We start from the raw sequence: 22,852 nt of genomic DNA, 5'->3' as shown, positions 1-22,852 counted from the left end.
CATGAAAATAAGTTGTCATTAGATTGCCCCAAAATGTTTTCCCATTTAAAAAGGACTAATTTATGTATTGCTCAAGTTAGAGAAACAATGGCTAATTGTGGAAGAGATGGAGGATTTTATTTATGTTTAATTCCAAAACACAGAGCTACTTCTCAAAAAGAAGGCAGTTAGGAAAAGAAGACCCAGATACTTAGCAAGATATTCGTGAGTGAGAAAGGTGTACTTGAAAAGGCAACAGAAAGACGGAAGCAGTGATGGGGGCACTGTTAAGCAGGAAGTGGTGCTTAGTGTGAAAAGCCAGCCTGTCTGTCTGTCAGGAAAGTTTTCTGGGAAGGAACCAGAGAGAGGGCAGTGAGAATTTTTTTCTCATCTGCAAGGCGGATCCAGGAGACAAGCTTTTAACTTTGTGGGGGCTCCTCCTCAAGAAAAAGAATGGAAAATTATGAATACAAAGTTAGACTCAAAAGTAAACTTTAATTTAGAATGAGAAAAACAGATTAGAAAATTTTAACAGATGCCGAATACCACAGACATCACAAAATCTAGAAAATAGCCTTCATTTTGGCTCCACACTTTCAAAAATAGACCTCTGGTCTTGCCTTTGTGTCATAGTGCACATCAAATTGGAATCATGGGCAATAAGAATATTCCTGAAAGCCATTGCTACACCTGGATGCCTAGCAATAATTTAACTAAACATGAGAGTAACTCCATGTAAATACATCCCACTCAACCTAAACTAAATGCATCCCTAACCCTACTTAACCTGAGCTGGAGCCTCAGAATGCCTGCAGCCACTCCAGTGATACTCATATGAGGCAAAATGTGAAAGTGAAAATGGAAAGAGACAGTGGTCTCAACAGACTGAAGCAAAAATACATTACTTACAAAAATTTACAAAAAAACCATAGGTCCATGGGAACACATTGCTAGGCCTTTTTTTCCACAGGACCATGGAAAACACCTGTGCAAGTGGATCATTGGCGCTGAAGCTCCATTAACATGATGGTAAATCTGCCCCTGCAGACATGTGAGAGAATATGAGAGTGAGGTCTAAAGAGAACTTAAAAGAAGTATAATTACTCTAATTACCCTTTGGTAATTTCTCATGGGCGTGAATCAAATCTCCCTTGCTTCTAATTATATTTTTATGCCCAACTGGTGTTTCTTTGAGTGTGAGTCCATGAGACTGGATTACAGGTAGCTCCAGAAACGTATAAGTTACAAGGTAATTAGGTAATAGTAAACAGATGATTGATTTGGGTACATGGTAATGGTAAAGACTGAATGGTTTTCAAGAAACTTGTGAAAACTTGTATTTGCACATCAGGAAAAAAAAAAAAATCTGGCCTGAAGAAAGATGAGTTGTAATCATCAGAAATGATGGGACAACTCTCTATCTTTCACGAAGCTCCATCTTCCCTTGAAAATTAAGCTTATTCTAGTACTGGTCAGATGTTAATTGACATACAGACTTAGCAAAGAAAAAGCTGTATGTGTGTGTGTGTGTGTGTGTGTGTGTGTGTGTGTGTGTGTGAGTTTGCTTAAAAGATATAAAAAGGAAATTTCTTGAGAGTTTTCCGTTGACAGATCAAAGTGAGTGACTGAAGCATAAGTCTCAGATCATTGATGTTTATTGAGCCAGCCTGAGGGTTCACCTGGTTAAAATGCAAGTCACAGATGCATTCTGTGATTGTGTTTTCCAAAGAGGTTCTCAGGAAGTTTAGTATTTACATATTTTCCTTTAAGAAAAGGGGCGGGCAGGTAGCAGTGAAATTAATGATTACATACTTGTAAGGTTTTTAGTTAGTGCCTAATAAATCTACATTTTACATAAGATAAGGTGAACATGTGAAGAAAAAGGGAATAGAGGAAGCAGACATCTCAGGCAAGGGTAAAAGAACAATTGATTTCATCTTGTCTTTGTTCTGTACCAGGAAAGATAAGCTAGTGATCAACATTATCAGTGTGGAGTCTTTTGAAAGGGCTAGTTTCTGTTTAGCCCTCAGAGTAGAAAGCCTAATGGTGGTTAGCAAGGGAGGGGGTTATAATGAGGCATGTCTGAACATCCATCCTGTCATGACTGTAAATTCAGCTTCCAAGATTTCTCTCGATTCCCCTTGGCCAAGAGAGATGTCCGTTCAGTCAGTTGGGGGCTTAGAATTTTTTATTTTTATTTCTCACTATCAAATTTAACTACCCAATCTGCATTCCATTTCAATATGAGAAAAGGCTTCTGTGAAATGACAATCCATCTAGAAAGTATGCATGTGGACATATGTTTATGTATTGAAAAAGTAATTTTAAAAGTCAAAATTTGATATCTTATTGGTGCTAGATTTTTTTTTCTAAGTTCTCATTTGTAGATATAGCATTGGCTTTTTATTTGGTACAATTCTTAAGCTGTATCAGCAAAAGGTTATCTATATGTGATGCTAAAAAATGAAATAGATACAGAGCCAACATTACTGAAGTCATTTGGTCTATCAATATTTGATTAAGTACATAACAGAGTAAAATAAAACAACCCAAAATTTAAATGAATAAACCTTCATTTCAAAATTAAATGGAAATACTAAAGGCCTATACAAATTTTGACATTGTTCCTTCTTGTTATTCAGGGCTAAACCTAGCCAGCAGTATTTTTTATAACATCAATTTATTCATATTTTTAAAATTAGAAACATCCTTTTAATAGGAAAGCTGTATTTTAATATAAAGCTGAAACATTATATACTTAGTTATTCTGCAAATAATTAGAATCTTTTTTGAACTATAGCTATCACTGGCTGTCTTCATTTTGCACAATACAAAATGAACAATAGACTTTAATTAAAACAAGGATATTCGGCCTTTTCTTATTTAGAAATATCAGTTTCTCATTAACTACTCAAAAATTGAAATAGCATTGTTTTTCCACTATTGCTAGAACATGAAGTATCTGTGAAAAACGCCCTCTTTGTCTTCACCAGCAGTCCTGTTTTCCTTGGTATTATTCTATTTAAACAAGTCTTTCCCCTTCTGCTGAGTGTCTTCCATTTGCTCCTCCAGATACACGTTCCATCCTTCTCCACTCTGCTCTGTGCCCCAGGAGGCTGATCATTATGTTTGCAATAAATAGGCTCCCTTGCCTTCTGTTTTCCTGTTAAGTACATTCAAAAAGAGTAACAGAGTATTTATCCCCTGGCTCCCTTCTTGAGGGACTGTAGGTGACAATGGCTACTAGAAAGCTCTTTCCTAAGTGTATAGGTCTTTTCAGATTCCAGTAACCTCCTTCTGAGACAGGGAGTGACCTTTCAGTGGTGGTAATGATTTCCTGTTTTGACAACTCTAGGGTTAGCTTCCCTTTTTCCTGCTCACATCTTTGTAAATAGTCCAATCATTGAACTCTTCTTCTGAATCACTTTTAGATGATTAAAAGTACACTTTTAGATGTACTACCCTCTGTTTCTTGCCAGAATCCTGACTGATTGACTCCTCCTTTTTTTCTGACTACCTCATGTCTTCGGAGTTCAAGTTGTTAAAAAAAAATGATCTGATAATCAAACTTAAATTCATGTGTTCAGTGAGACAAAGCAAGAACCTTTCTTAGGGGGCTGCTGCCTGCTCCCCTTGCCAAACATGGAAATAAAGAAAAATATTGAATTCCTTTAAGGGAACTTCCAGACACCTGGTTAGCCCTAAGAAGTAAATGAGCAACTTGATAAGCAAGAAGGCAAGAGTAGCTTAAAACTATAGCCAAGGGAATTAGAGTTCTGAGATGTTTGGTTTCCTTGTAACTGCTCAACGGATTCACCTTGCCCACTGCTTAGACAGAGACGATTTATGAAGAGAGGGGAACTGCAAGGCAGAACGACTAAGTCACACAGAGCCATCTGTGCAGGAGACTGGAGTTTTATTATTACTCAAATCAAATATCCTTGAGCATTTGAGGATCAGAGTTTTTAAAGATAATTTGGCAGGTAGGGGCTTGAGAAGTGGGGAGTGCTGATTGGTCAGGTTGGAGATGGAACCATAGGGGGTCGAAGTTGACTTTTTCTTGCTGTTTTCTGTTCATCTGGGTGAGATGGTAGAACTGGTTGAGCCAGATTACTGGTCTGGGTGGTGTCTGCTGATCCATCCAGTGCAGATTCTGCAAAATATCTCAAGCACTGATCTTAGGTTTGCAATAGTGATGTTATCCCCAGCAACTTGGAGCCAGAGGCTGCATGCCCCTAAACTGTAATTTCTAATCTTGTAGCTAATTTGTTAGTCCTGCAAAGGCAGACTGGTACCCAGGCAAGGAAGGGGTCTTTTCAGGAAAGGTCTATTATCAATTTTGTTTCAGAATCAAGCCATGAACTGAATTCCTTCTCAAAATTAGTTTGGCCTATCCTCAGGAATGAAGAAGGACAGCTTAAAGATTAGGAGCCAGATGGAATCAGTTAGGTGTGATTTCTGTCACTGTCATAATTTCCTCAGTTATAATTTTGCAAAGGCGGTTTCACCCTGTAGAAACTAAAGAGAACATCAGAATATATGTCCCTGAGTTGTTTCTTAGAAGCTGGTACCCCCACCAAATGGATTCCCTGGCATGTAGACCTCAAATAAGAGGTAATTGAGGACTGAACTCTTGCTTTAAATTTCTTCCTGAGGGGCATGGAGGAAGTCACGCCCACAGGCCAGACTTAATATTTCTTTCTTCTGATCCCAAATTTTTAAACAAAGCTTCTCTTCTTTAACCAATTGCAAGTCAGAAAATCTTTGAAATCCAGTTATGACCTGGAAGCACCCTGCCCCACCTGACTCTGCTTCCACCTTTGTAGGCCAAACCAATGTATCACCTCTATGTGTTGATTTATAGTTTTGCCTATAACTTCTGCTTTCCTGAAATTTACCTCTGCCTTTAAACACCCTTGCTTGCAAGCCATCTGGAAGTTTGGGTCTTACATTTCAGCTGCCCAATTATCCTTGCTTGGTACCCTACTAATAAAGGCCCTCCTTTCTCCTGCTGCAAAGCAACCTCGGTATGAATATTTGGCCTTACTGCACTGGGCAATGGGACCCCTGTTTGGTTTAGTAACATAAGAGTGGCCCACGCCTTTTCTACGTTTCTTAGAAATGAGTTCAAATCTGAGTCACTTCTGCAGAAATCACCATTGACCTTATCCTCTCTATTTAACTTTTTCATTATTCCACCCCTTTTTAGTCAAGCTTCCTGAAAGAATATTTTACATTCATGACCTCCGTTTTCCTAATTCTCCTTCATTCCTCTAAGCCAGTGCAACTTGTCTGCTTCCTATCCACTCCAGTGGAATTATTCTAGAAAATTCGTTAATGACCCCCCCACTCATGTTGCCATACTCGGTGGGCACTTGCTAGTCCTCTCACTATATTTGGTATTGACAGCTACTCATTAGTTTTAAAAAGTATCTTCTCTCTTTGTTTATATGATGTATTCTGATTATTAGTTCTAACCACTCTTTTCCTTTTATTCTCTCCTTAAAGTTTGCTGTTTTTTTAGGGTTGTCTATTTAGCTGACTATTATTCTCACTTCTACCAATTTTTCCTGGGAATTTTTTGCATTTTCATTGCTTCAGCTTTTACTTGAGTATAGATGACTCATACCTCTGTGGCAGGTCCCTTGGCTGAGTTTCCCGCCTATACATTCTATGAACTAGAGCTATCCGTGTTCCTCAGGCACCTCAAATCCAAGGTACCAAATAAAATCTACTACCTTGTTTCCTTCACTCTAAGGTGACATTGACTGTAAGATGCACCATCATTTTATAAATGATGAAGAACAAAATATACCAGTTATAGTGGTAAGATCCCATCAATTTAAAGGTGAGTCCTAACATCAGAGATGTTAAAATGTAAAGGAGAAAAGTGCATCTTAGAATCTATGAAATACAGTTTATTTCTGTCATTCCTCACCCTTAATCTTCTCTTCTTCGTATGTTCCCTGTCTTCATTAGTGGCATCATCATTCTCCACATCTCTCAATTTACAATTCTGAAAAGCATCTCTAATGTTAACTCGGCTTGGCTATAATAATCAACTATTCAAATGCTATGTGTTGCCGTGAAGGTATTTTGTAGACATGATAAATATCTACAATCAGTTGACTAAGTACAGTTGACCCCTGAATAAGTTAGGGGTTAGGGATGCTGAATCCCCATGCACTTGAAAATCTGCCTATAACTTTTGACTCTCCAAAAACTTAACTAGTAATAGCCTTCTATTGACTGGAATCCTTACCAATAACATAAATAGTTGATTAACATATATTTTGCATGTTGTATTTATTATATATTGCATTCTTCCAATAATGAAAACTAGAGAAAAGAAAATATTATTAAGAAAATTATGGTTGGGCATGGTGGCTCATGCCTGTAATCCCAGCACTTTGGGAGGCCGAGGTGGGCGGATAACCTGAGGTCAGGAGTTCGGGACCAGGCTGGCCAACATGGAGAAACCCCGTCTCTATTAAAAATACAAAAATTAGCCAGGCGTAGTGGAAGGTGCCTGTAATCCCAGCTACTCAGAAGGCTGAGGCAGAAGAATCGCTTGAACCCGGGAAGCAGAGGTTGCAGTTAGCCGAGGTTGTGCCACTGCACTCCAGCCTGGGTGACAGAGTGAGACTTTGTCTCAAAACAAAAAAATAAATAAATAAAAAAGAAAATAAAGTCATAAGGAAGAGAAAATATATTTACTATTAATTAAATGAAAATGGATTGTCAAAAAGGTCTTCATCCTAACTGTCATCATGTTGAGTGGGCTGAAGAGGAGAGAAAGGAGGGGTTGGTCTTGCTGTCTCAGGGTTGGTAGAGGCAGGAGAAAATCTGCACATAAGTAGAATTGCACAGTTCAAATCTGTGTTGTTCAAGGGCCAACTGTAAATAAAATTATTCTCAATGATCCCGTGGGTCAGAGTCAATCAATTGAAGGGACTTATGGCAGATTGCAATTTCCCTCAGAAAGAAGAAATTTTACCAATGACTGTCAGTGTCAGCTCCTGCCTGAGAGTTTCCAGTCTGCTCTTCCTGATGCCCTCCTCTATTAATTTCTAACTTGCCTAAGGAGCCCCCACAATTGCACAAGTCAATTCTTTGCTCGCTTTCTCTCTCACACGCATGTGCTCTCTCTCTCTCTCCTACTGGTTTAGTTTATTTGATGGAACCCTGACAGTATTCTACCTCCTTCCTCTTTCTTTCATTCTCCATACCTGGACAGCATGTCTTGAAAATTAATCTTATTGCCATCTCATAAATGTATCTTCTTTCATATCGATAACCTTGGTTTAGCTTTCATCATCTCTTGTCTTGATTGTAGCTGAAATGAACCCTTACTTCATTTTCCCACTTCCTATTCAGCATTCAGTTTATCTTAAAGAGACAGTTATAAAATGCAAGTCTGATTATTTCTCTTCTCTGCTTAAAACACTTCACTGGCTCTTATTGTCTACAGGATGAAGCCTAAGTTTCTTAGTGGAGCACATACATCCCTTTGTGATCTAGTATCTAAGTGGCCAATTGCTGCCACTTGAGTTACTGATCACTCAAGTAATACTTAACATGGTATTTCAGACTCCTGTGCCTTTGCACTTGTTGTTGCCTTAATGAGATGTTTGCTTACTCTTCTCCTAGTCTGTTTGATAAACTCTTTTTCTTCCTTTAAAACCTAATGGGTGAATATAGTTAACAAAAATGTAGTGTATATTTTCAAAAAGCCAGAAGAAAGGATTTTGAATGTTCACAACACAAAGAAATGATAAATGTTTGAGGTGATGAATATGCTAACTACCCTGATTTGATCATTACACATTGCATACATGTATCAAAATATCACTCTGTATCCCATAAATAAGTACAAGTAATACATGTCAAGTAAAAATGTTTTTAAGATGAAAAAATAAACACAAACAAAAAACGCTACCATGATGATACTTCCTTCTAAAAGCTTTTCTTAACTCATGAATATATTTCATATTTGATACGGTTTGGCTGTGTCCCTACCCAAATCTCAACTTGAATTGTATCTCCCACAATTCCCACATATTGTGGGAGGGACCCAGTTGGAGGTAATTGAATCATGGGGGCCTGTCTTTCCCATACTATTCTTGTGATAGTGAATAAGTCTCACGAGATCTGATGGGTTTATCAGGGGTTTCCGCTTTTGCTTCTTCCTCATTCTGTCTTGCTGTCACTATGTAAGAAGTGCTTTTCACTCTCTGCCATGATTGTGAGACCTCCCCAGCCATGTGGAACTGTAAGGACAATTAAACCTCCTTTTCTTCCCAGTCTCAGGTATGTCTTTGTCAGCAGCATGAAAATGGACTAATAGGGTGAATTGGAACCAGTAGAGTGGGGCGCTGCTGAAAATTTACCCAAAAATGTGGAAGCGACTTTGGAACTGGGTAACAGAGGCTGAAACAGTTTGGAGGGCTCAGAAAAAGACAGGAAAATATGGGAAAGTTTGGAACGTCCTAGAGACTTGTTGAATGGCTTTGGCCAAAATGTTGATAGCAATAAGGACAACAAAGTCCAGGCTGAGGTAGTCTCAGATGGAAATGAGGAACTTGTTGAGAAATGGAGTAAAGGTGACTCTTGCTATGTTTTAGCAAAGAGACTGGTGGCATTTTGCCCCTGCCCTAGAGATTTGTGGAACTTTGAATTTGAGAGAGATGATTTAGGGTATCTGGTGGAATAAATTTCTAAGCAGCAAAGCATTCAAGAGGTGACTTGGGTGCTTAGGACATTCAGTTTTATAAGGGAAGCAGAGCATAAAAATTTGGAAAATTTGCAGCCTGACCATGCAATAGAAAAGAAAATCCCATTTTCTGAGGAAAAATTTAAGCCAGCTGCAGAAATTTCCATAAATAACAAGAAGCCGATTGTTAATTCCAAAGACAATGTATACAATGTCTCCAGGGAATGTCAGAGGTCTTCGCAGCAGCCCCTCTCATCACAGGCCCAGAGGCATAGGATGAAAAATGGTTTCATGGGCCGGGACCAGTGTCCATGTGCTGTTTGCACCCTAGGGACTTGGTATCTTGTGTCCCAGCCGCTCCAGCTGTGACTAAAAGGGGCCAAGGTAGAGCTCTGGCAGTGGCTTCAGAGGGTGGAAGCCCCAAGCCTTGGTAGCTTCCATGTGGTGTTGAGCCTGCAGGTGCACAGAAGTCAAGAATTGAGGTTTGGGAACCTCTGCCTGGATTTCAGAAGATGTATGGAAATACCTGGATGTCCAGGCAAAAGTTTGCTGCAGGGCTGGGGCTCTCATGGAGAACCTCTGCTAGGGGAATGCGGAAGGGAAATGTGATATCAGAGCCCTCACGCAGAGCCCTACTGGGGCACTGCCTAGTGGAGCTGTGAGAAGGGGCCACCATCCTCCAGACCCCAGAATGGTGGATCCACCCATAGCTTGCACTGTGTGCCTGGAAAAGCTGCAGACACTCAATGCTAGCCCATGAAAGCAGCTGGGAGAAAGGCTGTACCCTGCAAAGCCACAGGGACGGAGGTGCCCAAGACCATGGGAACCAACTTCTTGCATCAATGTGACCTGCATGTGAGACATGGAGTCAAAGGAGATTATTTTGGAGCTTTAAGATTTGACTGCCCTGCTGGATTTTGGATTTGCATGGGGCCTGTAGCCCCTTCATTTTGGCTGATTTCTCCTATTTGGAATGGCTGTATATACCCAATGCCTGCATCCCCTTTTATCTAGGAAGTAACTAACTTGCTTTTGATTTTGTAGGCTCATAGGCAGAAGGAGCTTGCCTTGCCTCAGATGAGATGTTGGACTGTGAACTTCTGAGTTAATGCTGAAATCATTTAAGACTTTTGGGGACTGTTAGGAAGGCAAGATTGGTTTTGAAATGTGAGGACATGAGATCTGAGAGGGACCAGGGGCAGAATAATATGGTTTGGCTGTGTCCCCACCCAAATCTCAACTTAAATTATATCTCCCAGAATTCCCACATGTTGTGGGAGGGACCCAGTGGGAGGTCAGTGAATCATGGGGACTGGTCTTTCCTGTGCTATTCTCATGATAGTGAAAAAGTCTCACAAGATCTGATGGGTTTAGCAGGGGTTGCTGTTTTTGCTTCTTCTTCATTATCTCTTGCTGCCACCATGTAAGAAGTGCCTTTTGCCCTCTGCAATGATTGTGAGACGTCCCCAGCCATGTGGAACTGTAAGTCAAATTAAACCTCCTTTTCTTCCCAGTCTCAGGTATGTCTTTATCAGCAGCATGAAAATGAACTAATACAATAATTTTAATTTAGAATATTTTTAAAACAGGATTCAGATATACCAGTTTAAATTCCCTACTTTATATCTTTATTACATTAAAAACAATGTAATAAAGATTACATGAAACAATAAATTACAGAATGTATTTGGCAGCAAATGATAATGTAAAGATAAATGATTCTAGTCTATCAATTGTTTAAAATTTTAAAGATCAATTTTAAATTATTTCACATAGTGTTACACAAATAGTTATCTAGAAATGACTTACTGTAGTCTCATAAATTCTAATAAGACCAATTGTTTTTATAAAATGTTATGACTATAAGTCATTAACATATGGGAATTGAATACTAACGGTTACACTTTGAATTCAAATATAAGCTGAAAAAATCTGCCTAGAAATAAAACAAACAGAATCATGCTATGAAAAAGAATATATGCTTGAGTCAGGAGAGGGATCCTATTGTTTGAAAAAAGAGCAACACATGCTACAAAAAAAGGAGCATTTTTTGTTAAAACTATTGAGTGTGCTATAGATATTTTTAAGTGTCATAAATAAAAAGCAGTTATTATAACTTCTACTCATATTGTTAACTGACTTTGACATCAACTTATGGTTGAGTAGTATATGCAAATTTATTTGTATACCTTGAAATACACACCAGGTTTAGGAATTGACACAATAAAAAATACTTAGAGGTATTCCATGCGTCTAAATTATGAATAAATTATTTTTTTCTTATGCAGAAGAAAAATCTTAAGAAAAAGTGAACATTTAGGCCGGGCGCAGTGACTCATGCCTGTAATCCCAGCACTTTGGGGGGCCGAGGCGGGCAGATCACGAGGTCAGGAGCTTGAGACCACCCTGGCTAACACGGTGAAACCCCGTCTCTACTAAAAAAATGAAAAAAAAAAAAAAATTAGCCGGGCGTGGTGGCGGTGCCTGTAGTCCCAGCTACTCGGGAGGCTGAGGCAGAAGAATGGCGTGAACCCGGGAGGCGGAGCTTGCAGTGAGCCGAGATGGCACCACTGCACTCCAGCCTGGCGGCAGAGTGAGACTCCGACTCAAAAAGAAAAAAAAAAGAAAAGAAAAAGTGAACATTTATTAGTGTACATGGAAATGTTTGTTTTATCAGGAGAAGAAAAGTTTATAAACAGTAGCCATTGAGAGCTTATAGAAATATGGAAATGTAAAGTTTACAATTCACATTATGATACTGTGTGCAATCTAATTTTAAGATAGTAAATTGGAAAGTTGTCTCTGTGTTCACAAATAAAACACCGAGATATTAACATTTCAGTGGCATTCTTCTTCTTCTCCCTGGCATTTTTTTTTCTATTCAATGAAATCGATGAACTAGGTTTTTTTTGTTTTGTTTTGTTTATTTATTTATTTATTTATTTTGAGAACTAGTCTCACTCTGTTGCCCAGGCTGGAGTGCAGTAGTGTCATCTTGGGTCACTGGGTCACTACAACCTCTGTCTCCCGAATTCAAGCGATTCTCATGCCTGAGCCTCCCAAGTAGCTGGGACTACAGGCATGAGCCACCGTGCCAAGCTAATTTTTGTATTTTTAGTAGAGATGGGGTTTCACCATGTTGGCTAGGCTGGTCTCGAACTCCTGACCTCAGGCGATCCACCTGCCTTGGCCTCCCAAAGTGCTGGGATTACAGGCATGAACCAGAAGTAGGTTTTTGAATATCCTTTATATGTTGGGCCTCAAAAAAGCTATTTTTATTTTGAATAACAAAACGTAGACCATAACTATTTAATTTTTCATAGATTGGCACTTGTGCAAAACTTTTGGCTTTCTACGGGATTATATATAAATGAGCAAATTTCTAGCCGAACGAAATGTGTCTCTCAACCATACATTCCCATGACCTTATAAACACAAAAAACCTTATCACAAAAGAAGAAATGTCTTAGGGTTGTGATGGTTTATTTGGTTAGATGACATGGAAGGATTAGGAGGGAAAAGGAGATCATGTAGTATTGAGAAGAGAAGGCAGGTGTGCTCAAACATCCTCAGCACCACATTAATGTTCACCTTGGATCATTGCTAAATCCTTTTGACAGATCAAGTATAGGCACTATATAGAACACAGCAGAACGCTAAATTCTAAATCAACACCTTATGGATCATGACAGACTTGCACAAAGTCACTAGGATCTGAGGCCAGTAATGTTTAACTATAGCCAGACTAAAGGAATTAAAATCACTAAGGAAGAAACTTGTCAATCAGGAGGCTTATTGGTTAGAAATGGAAGCACAGAAAAAAATGACAGTTGGAAAGAGAAATTTTAAGGTTTTCCAAGAGTTTTATTTGGACTTCAATAGTTCAATGTTTTCAGGTAACAAATTTTAAAAATTTGGTATATAATCATCAGCTATGTTTTTAAAACATCAACATGTTAACATCCAATGGTACAACACACATAATGAATTTGGATGCATAGTTAAACTGTGGTCTAAATATATTAAATAATTTCAGATTACAAACTATATCCCTAGTCTAGTCCCCATTATGCAGTTAGCTTGACTCCACTTTCAGGAGCTAAGTTGGGAAGTCATTTCTGTAGGGCTCTTTTGGATTGCAGACCCCGAAGTAGGCTTGAGTCACCCACCCTTCTATTCTACAGTTGAAGCCCTAGTTAAGTCTCTATGTACTACTTCTTGGTTTTGGGGTTTTGATAAGAAAACAGTCTCTTTCCTGATTCTTTTTATCTCTTTTTTGTCTTGTTAAAATAAATTTATTCTGCCATGCTGTTCTTCTTTCCTGTTAATACTTTCAGTATTCTTTTTGTTCTTTCTACCAATTCCTATGTAAGATTATTTTTATAAATTTTGTCTCCCAGTTTATGCCACTTGATCACAATCCTATCTTTGGTTTTCGTTTGCTTGTTTTTTGAGATGGAGTCTGGCTCTGTCACCCAGGCTGGAGTGCAGTGGCGCTATCTCGGCTCACTGCAACCTCCTCCTCCCAGGTTCATGCCATTCTCTTGCTTCAGCCTCCTGAGTAGCTGGGACTACAGGCACCCACCACCACGCCCAGCTAAGTTTTTGTATTTTTAGTAAAGACAGGGTTTCACCATGTTAGCCAGGATGGTCTCCATCTCCTGACCTCATGATCCGCCTTCCTCGGCCTCCCAAAGTGCTAGGATTACAGGTGTGAGCCACCGCGCCCTGCTCTGTCTTTGGTTTTCTAAAACCACCTCATAAAGGGAATGAGACACCACTGTTATACCTCCTGGCCCTCAAACTCACCCCCAATCCCCCAGTTCCAGGAGGGGCACTCATTGAATGCCATGGAGGGTAAAGATCAGTGGAGGATTGTCCCTACTTCATGAACACTTTTCTTAATAGTTTTGGCATTTATGTTCACGGTAGTCTTATTTTTTTGGTTTTATCTTTGCCTGGTTTTGGCTTGAAAATGACCTTTCTGTAGGCAATCATTGCCTGGTTTTGTTCCCCCCTCGGGGCTGCTCCCCAGCTTTCCATGTGTGCCTCCCCCAGCAGAGGATGTTCCATCTCTCCGCAGCTTCCACAGGAATAAGCACATGAATAGGGTGATTCTCAGGGGCAATCCTCCAAAGCATTCAGTGAGTTCAATGGGTGTGTGTGTGTGTGTGTGTGTGCGTGCGTGTGGTGAGAATATGGGGAGGAGCTAGTCCATACCCTTTCTTCACCAAGATACTGGGAATTTCTGTGTGCTAGTCACCTGCAGCAGTTACAAGAGGCAGGGCCTCTCCCAAAACTCAGGTCACACTCTCCCTTCAAATTCTGTGTCTTCCTTCAACTGGCTCTAGGGTACAGAAACCATTCAAAAGCTGAGGGTTGGAGAAATGAGGGCAGAAATAGTTGCTCCTTCATAAACTTTGCTTTTCTTCAAAGGCTACTAGCTCTCTTAATATAGCCAAGGGAGTCTAGTTTTGATAGAAGTTTTTCTGGAATGTTCTATGGCAGACGCACCTGACAGCAATAACTTAACTTGTGCATACTCTGAGAAAGACCCTATGGTCTAAGAAGAATGTATGTTCAGAATTACAAGCTAAGGAGTCTAGAAGTGGCCAACCCAGGGATTCATTCCTTATGTACGAGGAATATCTGAACTCCCGGCCCATTCCCATGAACACAGGCCATACAGGGGATTAAAGCCCTTTGTTTTGGGTTAAATGAAGGTTGCCCCGTGTTGTTAGGGGGAGAGTGCTAAGTGAAAATGCTGTATAAACTGCATACTTTTTACAAATGGTAGTGTTTCTCCTATATGTTCTCCTTATATGTAAGTTTCTCAGTAAACCCTATGTCTTTTTTGCTGGCTCTGGGTCTGCTCTTAGGCCTCTTGAACATAGTGCCATTGCTACTGAAGTCAATAGGGGTCTGGCATGACAGATACCTTCTCTTAATAAACCTCTTGGGGTTGACTAGCTTTTTTGACCATTTCTTTGAACTTAAAATGGAACAGAGTCCACAGAAATCCTGGTATCTTTCCATGAGTTGTTGGGTGAGGGGTTAAGTAAGTGCATTCTACAGTAACTACCGGCGAACAGGAAAGGGGTATTAGTTTTCTACATTCTCACTGAACACATCAGAATGTGCATACAAAAAGCCCCAGAAGCTCTTAAAGGGAAGTATTTTAGGGTAGGAAGGATTGTGTAAATTTATAAGAGTGATTTTTGTTTCTAAATTATTCAAATTGAAATATTTATAAATGAGCATGTATTCCCTTTGTAATTGTAAACAGCAAATAAAAATATTATTTTAAAAAAACTCTGGTCTGATTCAGAGGCTTCTTAGATTTAAAAACATCATTCAAGAGAATGTGTTCAGTCCTTGCTGATCTGATTTATATGTTAAATGACTAGACTTAAGAATAAAGAGAATGTTGATATGCATGCCTATACCTACCCCCCAAAATGACTTTTTCTTCTCACTCTACTCATCTTTCTGATTCAAATTACTATTCCTCTGTAACTAGTCACTCTTGTCAACAACACAGAAATATGAGGCTTTTCCGAACTGAAAGTCAAGCAACTGCCCAATACAACTTTGGCAGTCAGAGGCAGCAAAAGGGTTCGGCCAGTTTATTTAATGGACTTAATTCAATGGAGGGCACATCAGATGTTAAAAATATTTAGTCCAGATTCAGTAAAAGCTCCAATTTCACATATAATTTAAAGCAGTGGGGAAGATTTTTTATCATAATAATTTATGTGACCCAATATATCCCAAATATTATCATTTTAATATGTAATCAATATATAATTGTTAATGAAGTATATAGCTTTTGGCACTAAATCTTGGCAACTCTGTCTATATGTTAAGTTTTCAGCACATGTCAGTTCAGAGCAGCCTATTCCATGTGCTCAGCAGCCCCACGTGGCTAGTGGCTGCCACACTGAAGTGCAGCTCTGAGGGCTCTGACTCTCTTGATCTAAGGAAGGTGAAGGGCCTGAAACACTCTTTCCTGCCAGAAGTGAGGGAACAGCCTCTGCCTCCCAACAACTCTCCTCAGGCCCAAGGGTGAGAGATTTTTGCCCCTAGAAAGCAGGGTTTACAAGAAGAAAGTGTCCACAGTTACCACTGCTGCCCACCTGGCGTCCATCTTCCTTCCAGAGATCAGACAGTAAACAAAGGATGATAAGGCCCCTCAAAAAGGAAACTCAATGTCTTCAGATCTGTCTACATCCTTGATCTCCAAAGTTTAGGTATGGAGGAAATAGATTAAAGGTGAACTTCTTATTTTGCTATTTGCTATTTGGCCTTGGCCCTAATGGTCAGGCCATGGCTGTTTCCTCCTGTGGCATGGCGGACTGCGTAATTTAAGCACCAATCACATGCACACATCTACATGCATTTTGGTATAACTCACCACCATCTAACAAGAGATCCAACTTTAAATAAGGGGAAAATGAAATCTGTACCTGTCGGGTGCTTTCTGTTTGCAGGTAACTAGTAATCAACCTGTCATTGAATCCTGACATCCCATTCATACTGGGTACATATATTACTTAGCTATTGTATAACAAACCATGCAAGACTTCCTAGCTCATGATGGAGTTGCTCAGCCATTTGGGCAGGGCTCAACTGGGCCATTCTTGTGGGCTCAGGTGGGCTCCTTCAGGCATATGTGATCAGCTGCTGTTGACTAGGCGGCTCTGCTTCTGAGTGTGAGTTGGCTGTCAACTGGAGCAGTTTGGCTCTCCTCCCCATGGTATCTCATTCTCCAGCAGGCTAACATGGGCTTGCAGTCATGGAGATGGTAGGGTTCTCCAGAAATGGGACATTTCAGCAAATTTTGACTGTCCTCAAGATCCTTAGGGGAGTCTTTTTCCTTTCAGCTCCAGAACCCTCTCACTGGGTCCTGACTCTGGGCTCCCTTTCTTACCTCCAGGTGAGCAGGAGACCTGGATCCTGGTCCCCAGAAAAAACGGAGGCCCCAGGGCTTCCATGGAGGAGGGTCAGATTTTTATTTTTACTTGTCTGCATTCTAACTATGAATTCTCCCTTATATGCATAATTAAAAAGGGATTCAAGAATTTATTATATAACTCTTAGACCCCTCAGACAAATAAAATTTCTACAAATGTATTAGCAAGAGGAGAAGATTCATAAACAGATTTATTTAATGAGAACTGTTGCTGACCTGTGGAATTCCATCCTTAACTCCAAAGAGTGGTGTATTTGTGGGTGAGGTGGAGGGGTGGGTGGGTTGGAGTGGGGTGTTACCTTCTAACCCTTAGCCTAGTAAGGGAGGCCTCAAGGGAGCTACTTGGAGAATTTGAAATATGGCCCCTGAAATTGAGGACACAGAGGGCTAGTGTCTGACCCAGTAGAGAGAACTACAGTGGACTGTAGCATCAGGGGCTGACTTTCTTGGGTATAATCAAAAAGGGCTGATTCCTTTGATTGTAGAACTAGGAGAATGGAGCTACATTGGGATTGGCCTGTGCTCCCAAAGTTGTTGGTGCAAGGTATGTATCATCATTCCTACAGAGGGGATTTAGACTATTTGGGGAAAGGGGAAGAACTGGCTTGGGGTTGTCTTAGGCCTCTCCTCCAACTTAAATGAGCTTCTAGAAGAAGATTACAAGACCTCAGCAGGAAAAGGAATAATTAAGTATACCTCAGTATGCTCTGGGGCTTGTGGAGGAGATATAAGTGACTACCTGTCAGTGGCTCAAGTCCCTGCAAGTTTGTGTCTTTCCACAGTCAGACTTTTGTTGATGCTATTTCAATCATAAAAGCCATGAGCTGTATGAAGGTCCGAAGGAGGTAATTTTCCTTAGTAGTACCCATTCATTTGGTAGTCAGAACCAAGGACACAAAGCTCTAGCCACTCCACAAGTCAGTCAATATTGCAAACCAAACATAGTAGTATACATAACATATAAATATTATAGGCTAAACATTCTAAAAGAAAATAACATTTAACATCAAGAGAAAGGTTAGGAAAACAGGATTAACCAATCCAAGGAGAGCAACATGGACAAGGAGAGTGTCCTCGGCTGATCAGGATGCATATCAACATTTTGCAAGGAAGAGTCTTTGATTTGAGCAGAACCTTTGGTGGCAGATGCTAGATGCTGATCATGAGTGACAGTAAGACAGTGTCTGTTAAGATGGCTATCTTGAGCTGTTGAAGTTCTACTCTTTTTATAGCCTCAGAGTCCTCTGGTGTTGACTGATAGTAAAGAGTGTGCCTGCAATAGCAAATACTTGGAACCAACTGAAATGTCCATCAGTGATAGACTGGATTAAGAAAATGTGGCACATATACACCATGGAATACTATGCAGCCATAAAAAAGGATGAGTTCATGTTCTTTGTAGGGACATGGATGAAGCTGGAAAACATCATTCTCAGCAAACTATTGCAAGGACAGAAAACCAAACACCACATGTTCTCACTCATAGGTGGGAATTGAACAATGAGAACACTTGGACACAGGAAGGGGAACATCACACACTGGGCCCTGTTGTAGGGTGGGGGAAAGTGGGGAGGGATAGCATTAGGAGATATACCTGATGTAAGACTAGTTAATGGGTGCAGCACCTCAACATGGCACATGTATGCATATGTAACAAATCTGCACGTTGTGCACATGTACCCTAGAACTTAAAGTATAATAATAATAATAATAATAATAATAATAATAATAAAAGAGTGTGCCTGGTTATGTCGTTATCTGGTTGGGTGCAGTCTCTATTGATTAGGTGAACATCTGGTCCCTTTTGGCATGATTCCTTTTGAAATGTAAACAGAATCTTTTTCTAAGAAGTAGTTACTTATGTCAAGGGTGCTCTATACAATCTGGAATAGAGATATCAACCTGGAAGCGATACCTCTCTTCACTTTAAGGAAGCTATGACAGAGGTCTCCAGGGATATGAATTATTAGGAAGAAAGAGTGAAATTCAAACATTTGCAGGTCTAGAGGGCTTAAAGCCAGCTTATGATGGTACCAGTTCAAGTTAAAACTGTATTCTCCCCTATTCCCTTCTTATTCTGTCCAGGCAGGAAGGACCATCCTATTTTTTCCCTCAGGCTTCCAGCCGGAAGTAGATTATAGGTAGAGCATAACTCATCACCACATAATACATTGGAAAAAGATGATGGTATTTTTTCTCAGAGTTGTTTCTTGACTACATCACAGTGGTGAAACATGCACTCACACCCCTGTGGACTCAGGTAAGCCATCCCAAGAGTTTCCTCCCTGTGGACTCAGGTAAGCCATCCCAAGAGTTTCCTCCTTCTTCTTCATTGTGGGCCTATGGCAGTGTGTTTTGTTTGCTGATGCATATACCTTTACATACAAAGCTATCATGGAAATTCACAGGCATGCATACATCTGAATAGAAAGGCTATAACATCATGTGATAAGTTCATGTCCAGCCAACCAGTTATCCCGGCTGGGCACCAGTGCCAGTAAATTAGAGTGATTTGGGCAGCTAGTCAACTTTTATTCAGAGTCAGCTGTCTCATGCGTCCGTGTGAAGAGACCACCAAACAGGCTTTGTGTGAGCAACATGGCTGTTTATTTCACATGGGTGCAGGCGGGCTGAGTCCGAAAAGAGAGTCGGCAAAGGGTGGTGGGATTATCATTGGTTCTTACAGTTTTTCGGATAGGAGGTGGAGTGAAGAGCAATGTTTTGGGGGTAGGGGGTAGATCTCACAAAGTACATTCTCAAGGGTGGGGAGAATTACAAAGAAACTTCTTAAGGGTGGGGGAGATTATAAAGAACATTGATCAGTTAGGGTGGGGCAGAAACAAATCACAATGGTGGAATGTCATCAGCTAAGCTATTTTCACTTCTGTGGATCTTCAGTTGCTTCAGGCCAGCTGGATGTATACGTGAAGGTCACTGGGGATATGATGGCTTAGCTTGGGCTCAGAGGCCTGACATCAGCCATTCTTGCAACCTGGTAAGGAGTTCTGCTAATCACACACATTCCACCTTGTACACGAGGGCCAAACTTCCTTTTGGTGAAGAAGTATAAACCTCTAAAATTGACTTGGATCTCCAGGTCCACCTAGCCCATTCTTTGTGGAGTTCCCTTGCTGTTCTAGTCTATCAACTTAGGCTGAGTCAAATATCTCAATAGGTTGCCCAGCTATGAGCCAACACCCTGCTCTGCAGCCCTCCCACATCTCAGCTTGCAGGGAAGCCAGCGAGGGCAGCGTGGTGATGTCACTGCGTCCGCACGCGCCCCGCCCCTGAGCAGTCCTTGCTGCCCCGCCCCCGCTCGGCTCGCCGCCAGGGGACGCTAGTGGGTCCAGTCTCCTTGGCAACCACTTGCTCCTCCCCCTCCGCCCCTTTAACCTTTAGGGTGCGCGGGTGCAGTATATCTCGCGCTCTCTCCCCTTTCCCCCTCCCCTTTCCCCACCCCGGGCGCTCAGGTTGGTCTGGACCGGAAGCGAAGATGGCGACTTCTGGCGCGGCCTCGGCGGAGCTGGTGATCGGCTGGTGCATATTCGGCCTCTTACTACTGGTAGGGGAGGCGCTTGGAGTTTTCCCCATGTTTGGACTGGGGGAGGAAGGGAGGGGCAGGCCCTGCAGTTGGCCTCTCCGGGCCCCGGAGACCCTCTTCGCCCCGCCCCGCTTTTAGCTTGGACTGTGGAGGGCTCCTTAGTGTTGGGGGCTTGGGCGGGCGGCGGGGGCAGGGGGGTGTCGATTTCCGGTCTCTTTTGCTGTCATTTCACCGATGACGTCTAGGGTTGCAGGGTCCTTTTTGGAAGCTCTTGCCGTCATCGCTGACTTGGGCAATGGGGCCGGTGGGGTTTGGGGGCGGAAGAGACCCTCGGGGTTGAGAAGTATGTGGTGGCCTTTCGTCCCCTGTAAAACATTGTCACACGGTGTGGGGCGGCAGCGCTGGATCTTTGCAAGTTAAGTAGGCGCTGGCGTTGTTTACTTGTCACCTTCTCTGTATGTTTTTTCCCTCATTTTCCCTACCCTTGGGGCTAGTGAGTCTCCAACCTCTGTGCCCATTGTGTGATTCTGCCTTGATGACGTGAGTTGCTCGTTCTGACTTCCAGGTGTCACATTCTCTTCTAATCTTTTTTTGATTGGTGTAGATACCTGTGGAGGGCGGAGCTGTAGCCCTCTTTATTACCAGTATCGGAGTATATACTACTACCTGTCTGACCTCAGGTGCTTTCTTTTCCAACGATCTTATTTCTGCATATTCAGTGAGCAAAGTGTAGATAGAAATGTCTCAGAGTGGCCTGGCTATTACTTCCCTGTTCATATTAAAACCCTTTGGTTTATTTGGGAGTTCAATTTATTTCCTTTCATAACTTCTCTACCTTCTCAAATCTTCTCTTTTCTCATCGTCCGAGGCTGTAGTTACTTTCTGTTCTCACGTATTTTGACCTTTTTGCATTGCAAAACAAAAACCTCCAGTTCTGGAAATCAGGCTTGTTTGGTTTTACTTTAATTGTCAGATCCAGTTGGTGTCTGGTACCTATGTAGTATGTTCTAGTAGATTTTTGCAGTAGAGACTAAAAAAAGAAAATAAAAGAAAAGAATGGTGTGAAAATTTAAGAAAAGGATCCTCTTGTTACTGCCATCACTGTCACAGATAAAAACACTGCCTTTACCCTGGAACATGTTAGTCCTCTCTTGGAGGAAATGAAACCCTAAAGGTTGACTGTGGTCTCTGCAGCCACCCAGTCCTGTATTTGGAGAGCCCCCTGGCTTTTCCAGTCCATCAGATTTAGTTTGTTTAGAAAAAAATAAATAAGCATGTAATGTATGAAAGTTACGTGAGACTATCTTGGCAGTTATAAATTAATAAACATTTACGGTACAGAAGTGGTGTGAATTGTAAGAGGATGTAAACCAAACAAAATACGGCTTTAAAGAGGGCCTGAAGATAAGTGAGAAAACTGAAATTCTTGAAACATGTATTTTATGGACCGAAAGCCAAAGTGTGACTATAAATAAAGCAGGACTTAAGAGAATAGACAACAATATTGGAAGAAAATGAGAATTGTGGTAGAGTTTGGATAGATGAAGAAGAGAGGCCATTTAAGTTGGCAATATTACAGCAAGGACAAATAAAATCAGAATTGAATGTTGTCGTGGATAAAAGCATTAGGAAGAAGGACTTTTGTTTAAATTTCTGCAAATCTCTTTAAATCCTGGTTTATTAGAAGAAAGGCTGGTTTCTTTTGTTGCCTTCTACATTCAGTCTTTTGGGGTATGTTATTTTAGTCGAAGTGTATGGAGAAAATACAGCTGCAATGATAGGTAGTCAGAAACAGAGGAGCGTTTTTCAGATAATTGTGGATGTTTTTTGACACTACACCAAAGCTCAACAAGTGGAAGATTCATGTCAGCTGCAAGGTGGAATCTGAAACCCTATCAATGAGCATTTCATTCATTGTTACATTAAAATCCATTAGCCCATCTTGCACTTTGAAAGGCTCTTTTACCCATGCATGGTTTTATAACATGATGCCATGGCCACTTAGAAAATGTTGGTTTACTGAGTTATGCACATCTTTTAAATATGGATACGTTTCATTACACAATATCAAAATATCACATTTCATTAAATTACAACTGATCTTGTCAGAAATGTCTCTGAAAATTCTAAGTATTGAAGAGTTGTCAAGCTCATACTTGTGGATGTAAGTCTTTCAAAATCCAATTTTCATTTGAAAGTTTGACTCATAATTATCATTGGTATCAAATACTGTCAGTTTTTCTTTAAGTGATAGATTCCCTTTGTTCATTTGACAAAATCTGCCAAAAAGCGAAGTCTGAATAACCAGTTTGACAATTGTTCTTTCAAGTAAAAATGGTGTTCCTTGAAGAGTGGTTGGTTTAGCTTTTAACTCTAAACTTTTCCTGGAGATAGCCATCACATCTTGGTATGCAGCAGGACTTTATGTACGCATGCTTCATATTTTACCCCACAAAGTATTAAAAAGAGTCAAGGGTTGAATTTCAATAAAATGAATTTATGCTGCTTTGTGAAGCACAGTCTTAATTTAAATTGTCCCTTTTTGAACTTGTGGTGAAGAATACAATGATTACTGGTGCAGTTTGGTGCCACTGTCTTGATTCACGCTAATGCACCAGTAGTTTTACCCACTGTGGCTATGAACCAT

At 40.7% G+C, this 22,852-nt stretch overlaps 1 protein-coding gene across 4 annotated transcripts in view, besides 6 other annotated features; it reads left to right on the top strand.

Moving 5' to 3' along the window:
- Positions 534-603: an enhancer, noted in NCBI's record as "active region_24729". NCBI's record gives its function as "activates an Ori minimal core promoter by ATAC-STARR-seq in GM12878 lymphoblastoid cells {active_cell/tissue: GM12878}" and the evidence as "EXISTENCE:reporter gene assay evidence [ECO:0000049][PMID:35858748]".
- Positions 714-1,033: an enhancer, noted in NCBI's record as "active region_24728". NCBI's record gives its function as "activates an Ori minimal core promoter by ATAC-STARR-seq in GM12878 lymphoblastoid cells {active_cell/tissue: GM12878}" and the evidence as "EXISTENCE:reporter gene assay evidence [ECO:0000049][PMID:35858748]".
- Positions 19,966-20,521: an enhancer, noted in NCBI's record as "NANOG-H3K27ac-H3K4me1 hESC enhancer chr6:70506410-70506965 (GRCh37/hg19 assembly coordinates)". NCBI's record gives its function as "activates a minimal SCP1, AML or CMV promoter by ChIP-STARR-seq in naive H9 embryonic stem cells {active_cell/tissue: H9 hESC(naive)}" and the evidence as "EXISTENCE:reporter gene assay evidence [ECO:0000049][PMID:30033119]".
- Positions 20,029-22,852, top strand: part of LMBRD1 (LMBR1 domain containing 1) — a 123,001-nt gene continuing 120,177 nt past the window's right edge. Inside the window, exon 1 of one of the 4 annotated variants that reach the window (NM_018368.4) lies at positions 20,029-20,226. In NM_018368.4, coding sequence (NP_060838.3) covers positions 20,158-20,226 — 69 coding nt within the window. In that variant the 5' untranslated portion in view covers positions 20,029-20,157. Of the gene's footprint in view, positions 20,227-20,429; positions 20,746-22,852 lie in introns of those variants that run through there. The other 3 variants (NM_001367272.1, NM_001367271.1, NM_001363722.2) reach the window with 3 other exon arrangements.
- Positions 20,108-20,337: an enhancer, noted in NCBI's record as "active region_24727". NCBI's record gives its function as "activates an Ori minimal core promoter by ATAC-STARR-seq in GM12878 lymphoblastoid cells {active_cell/tissue: GM12878}" and the evidence as "EXISTENCE:reporter gene assay evidence [ECO:0000049][PMID:35858748]".
- Positions 20,522-21,078: an enhancer, noted in NCBI's record as "NANOG-H3K27ac-H3K4me1 hESC enhancer chr6:70505853-70506409 (GRCh37/hg19 assembly coordinates)". NCBI's record gives its function as "activates a minimal SCP1, AML or CMV promoter by ChIP-STARR-seq in naive H9 embryonic stem cells {active_cell/tissue: H9 hESC(naive)}" and the evidence as "EXISTENCE:reporter gene assay evidence [ECO:0000049][PMID:30033119]".
- Positions 20,648-20,697: an enhancer, noted in NCBI's record as "active region_24726". NCBI's record gives its function as "activates an Ori minimal core promoter by ATAC-STARR-seq in GM12878 lymphoblastoid cells {active_cell/tissue: GM12878}" and the evidence as "EXISTENCE:reporter gene assay evidence [ECO:0000049][PMID:35858748]".

The sequence above is a fragment of the Homo sapiens genome, chromosome 6 (assembly GCF_000001405.40).
Source record: "Homo sapiens chromosome 6, GRCh38.p14 Primary Assembly".
Classification (NCBI taxonomy): domain Eukaryota; kingdom Metazoa; phylum Chordata; class Mammalia; order Primates; family Hominidae; genus Homo; species Homo sapiens.
This window is presented reverse-complemented; position numbering and strand designations above follow the sequence as displayed.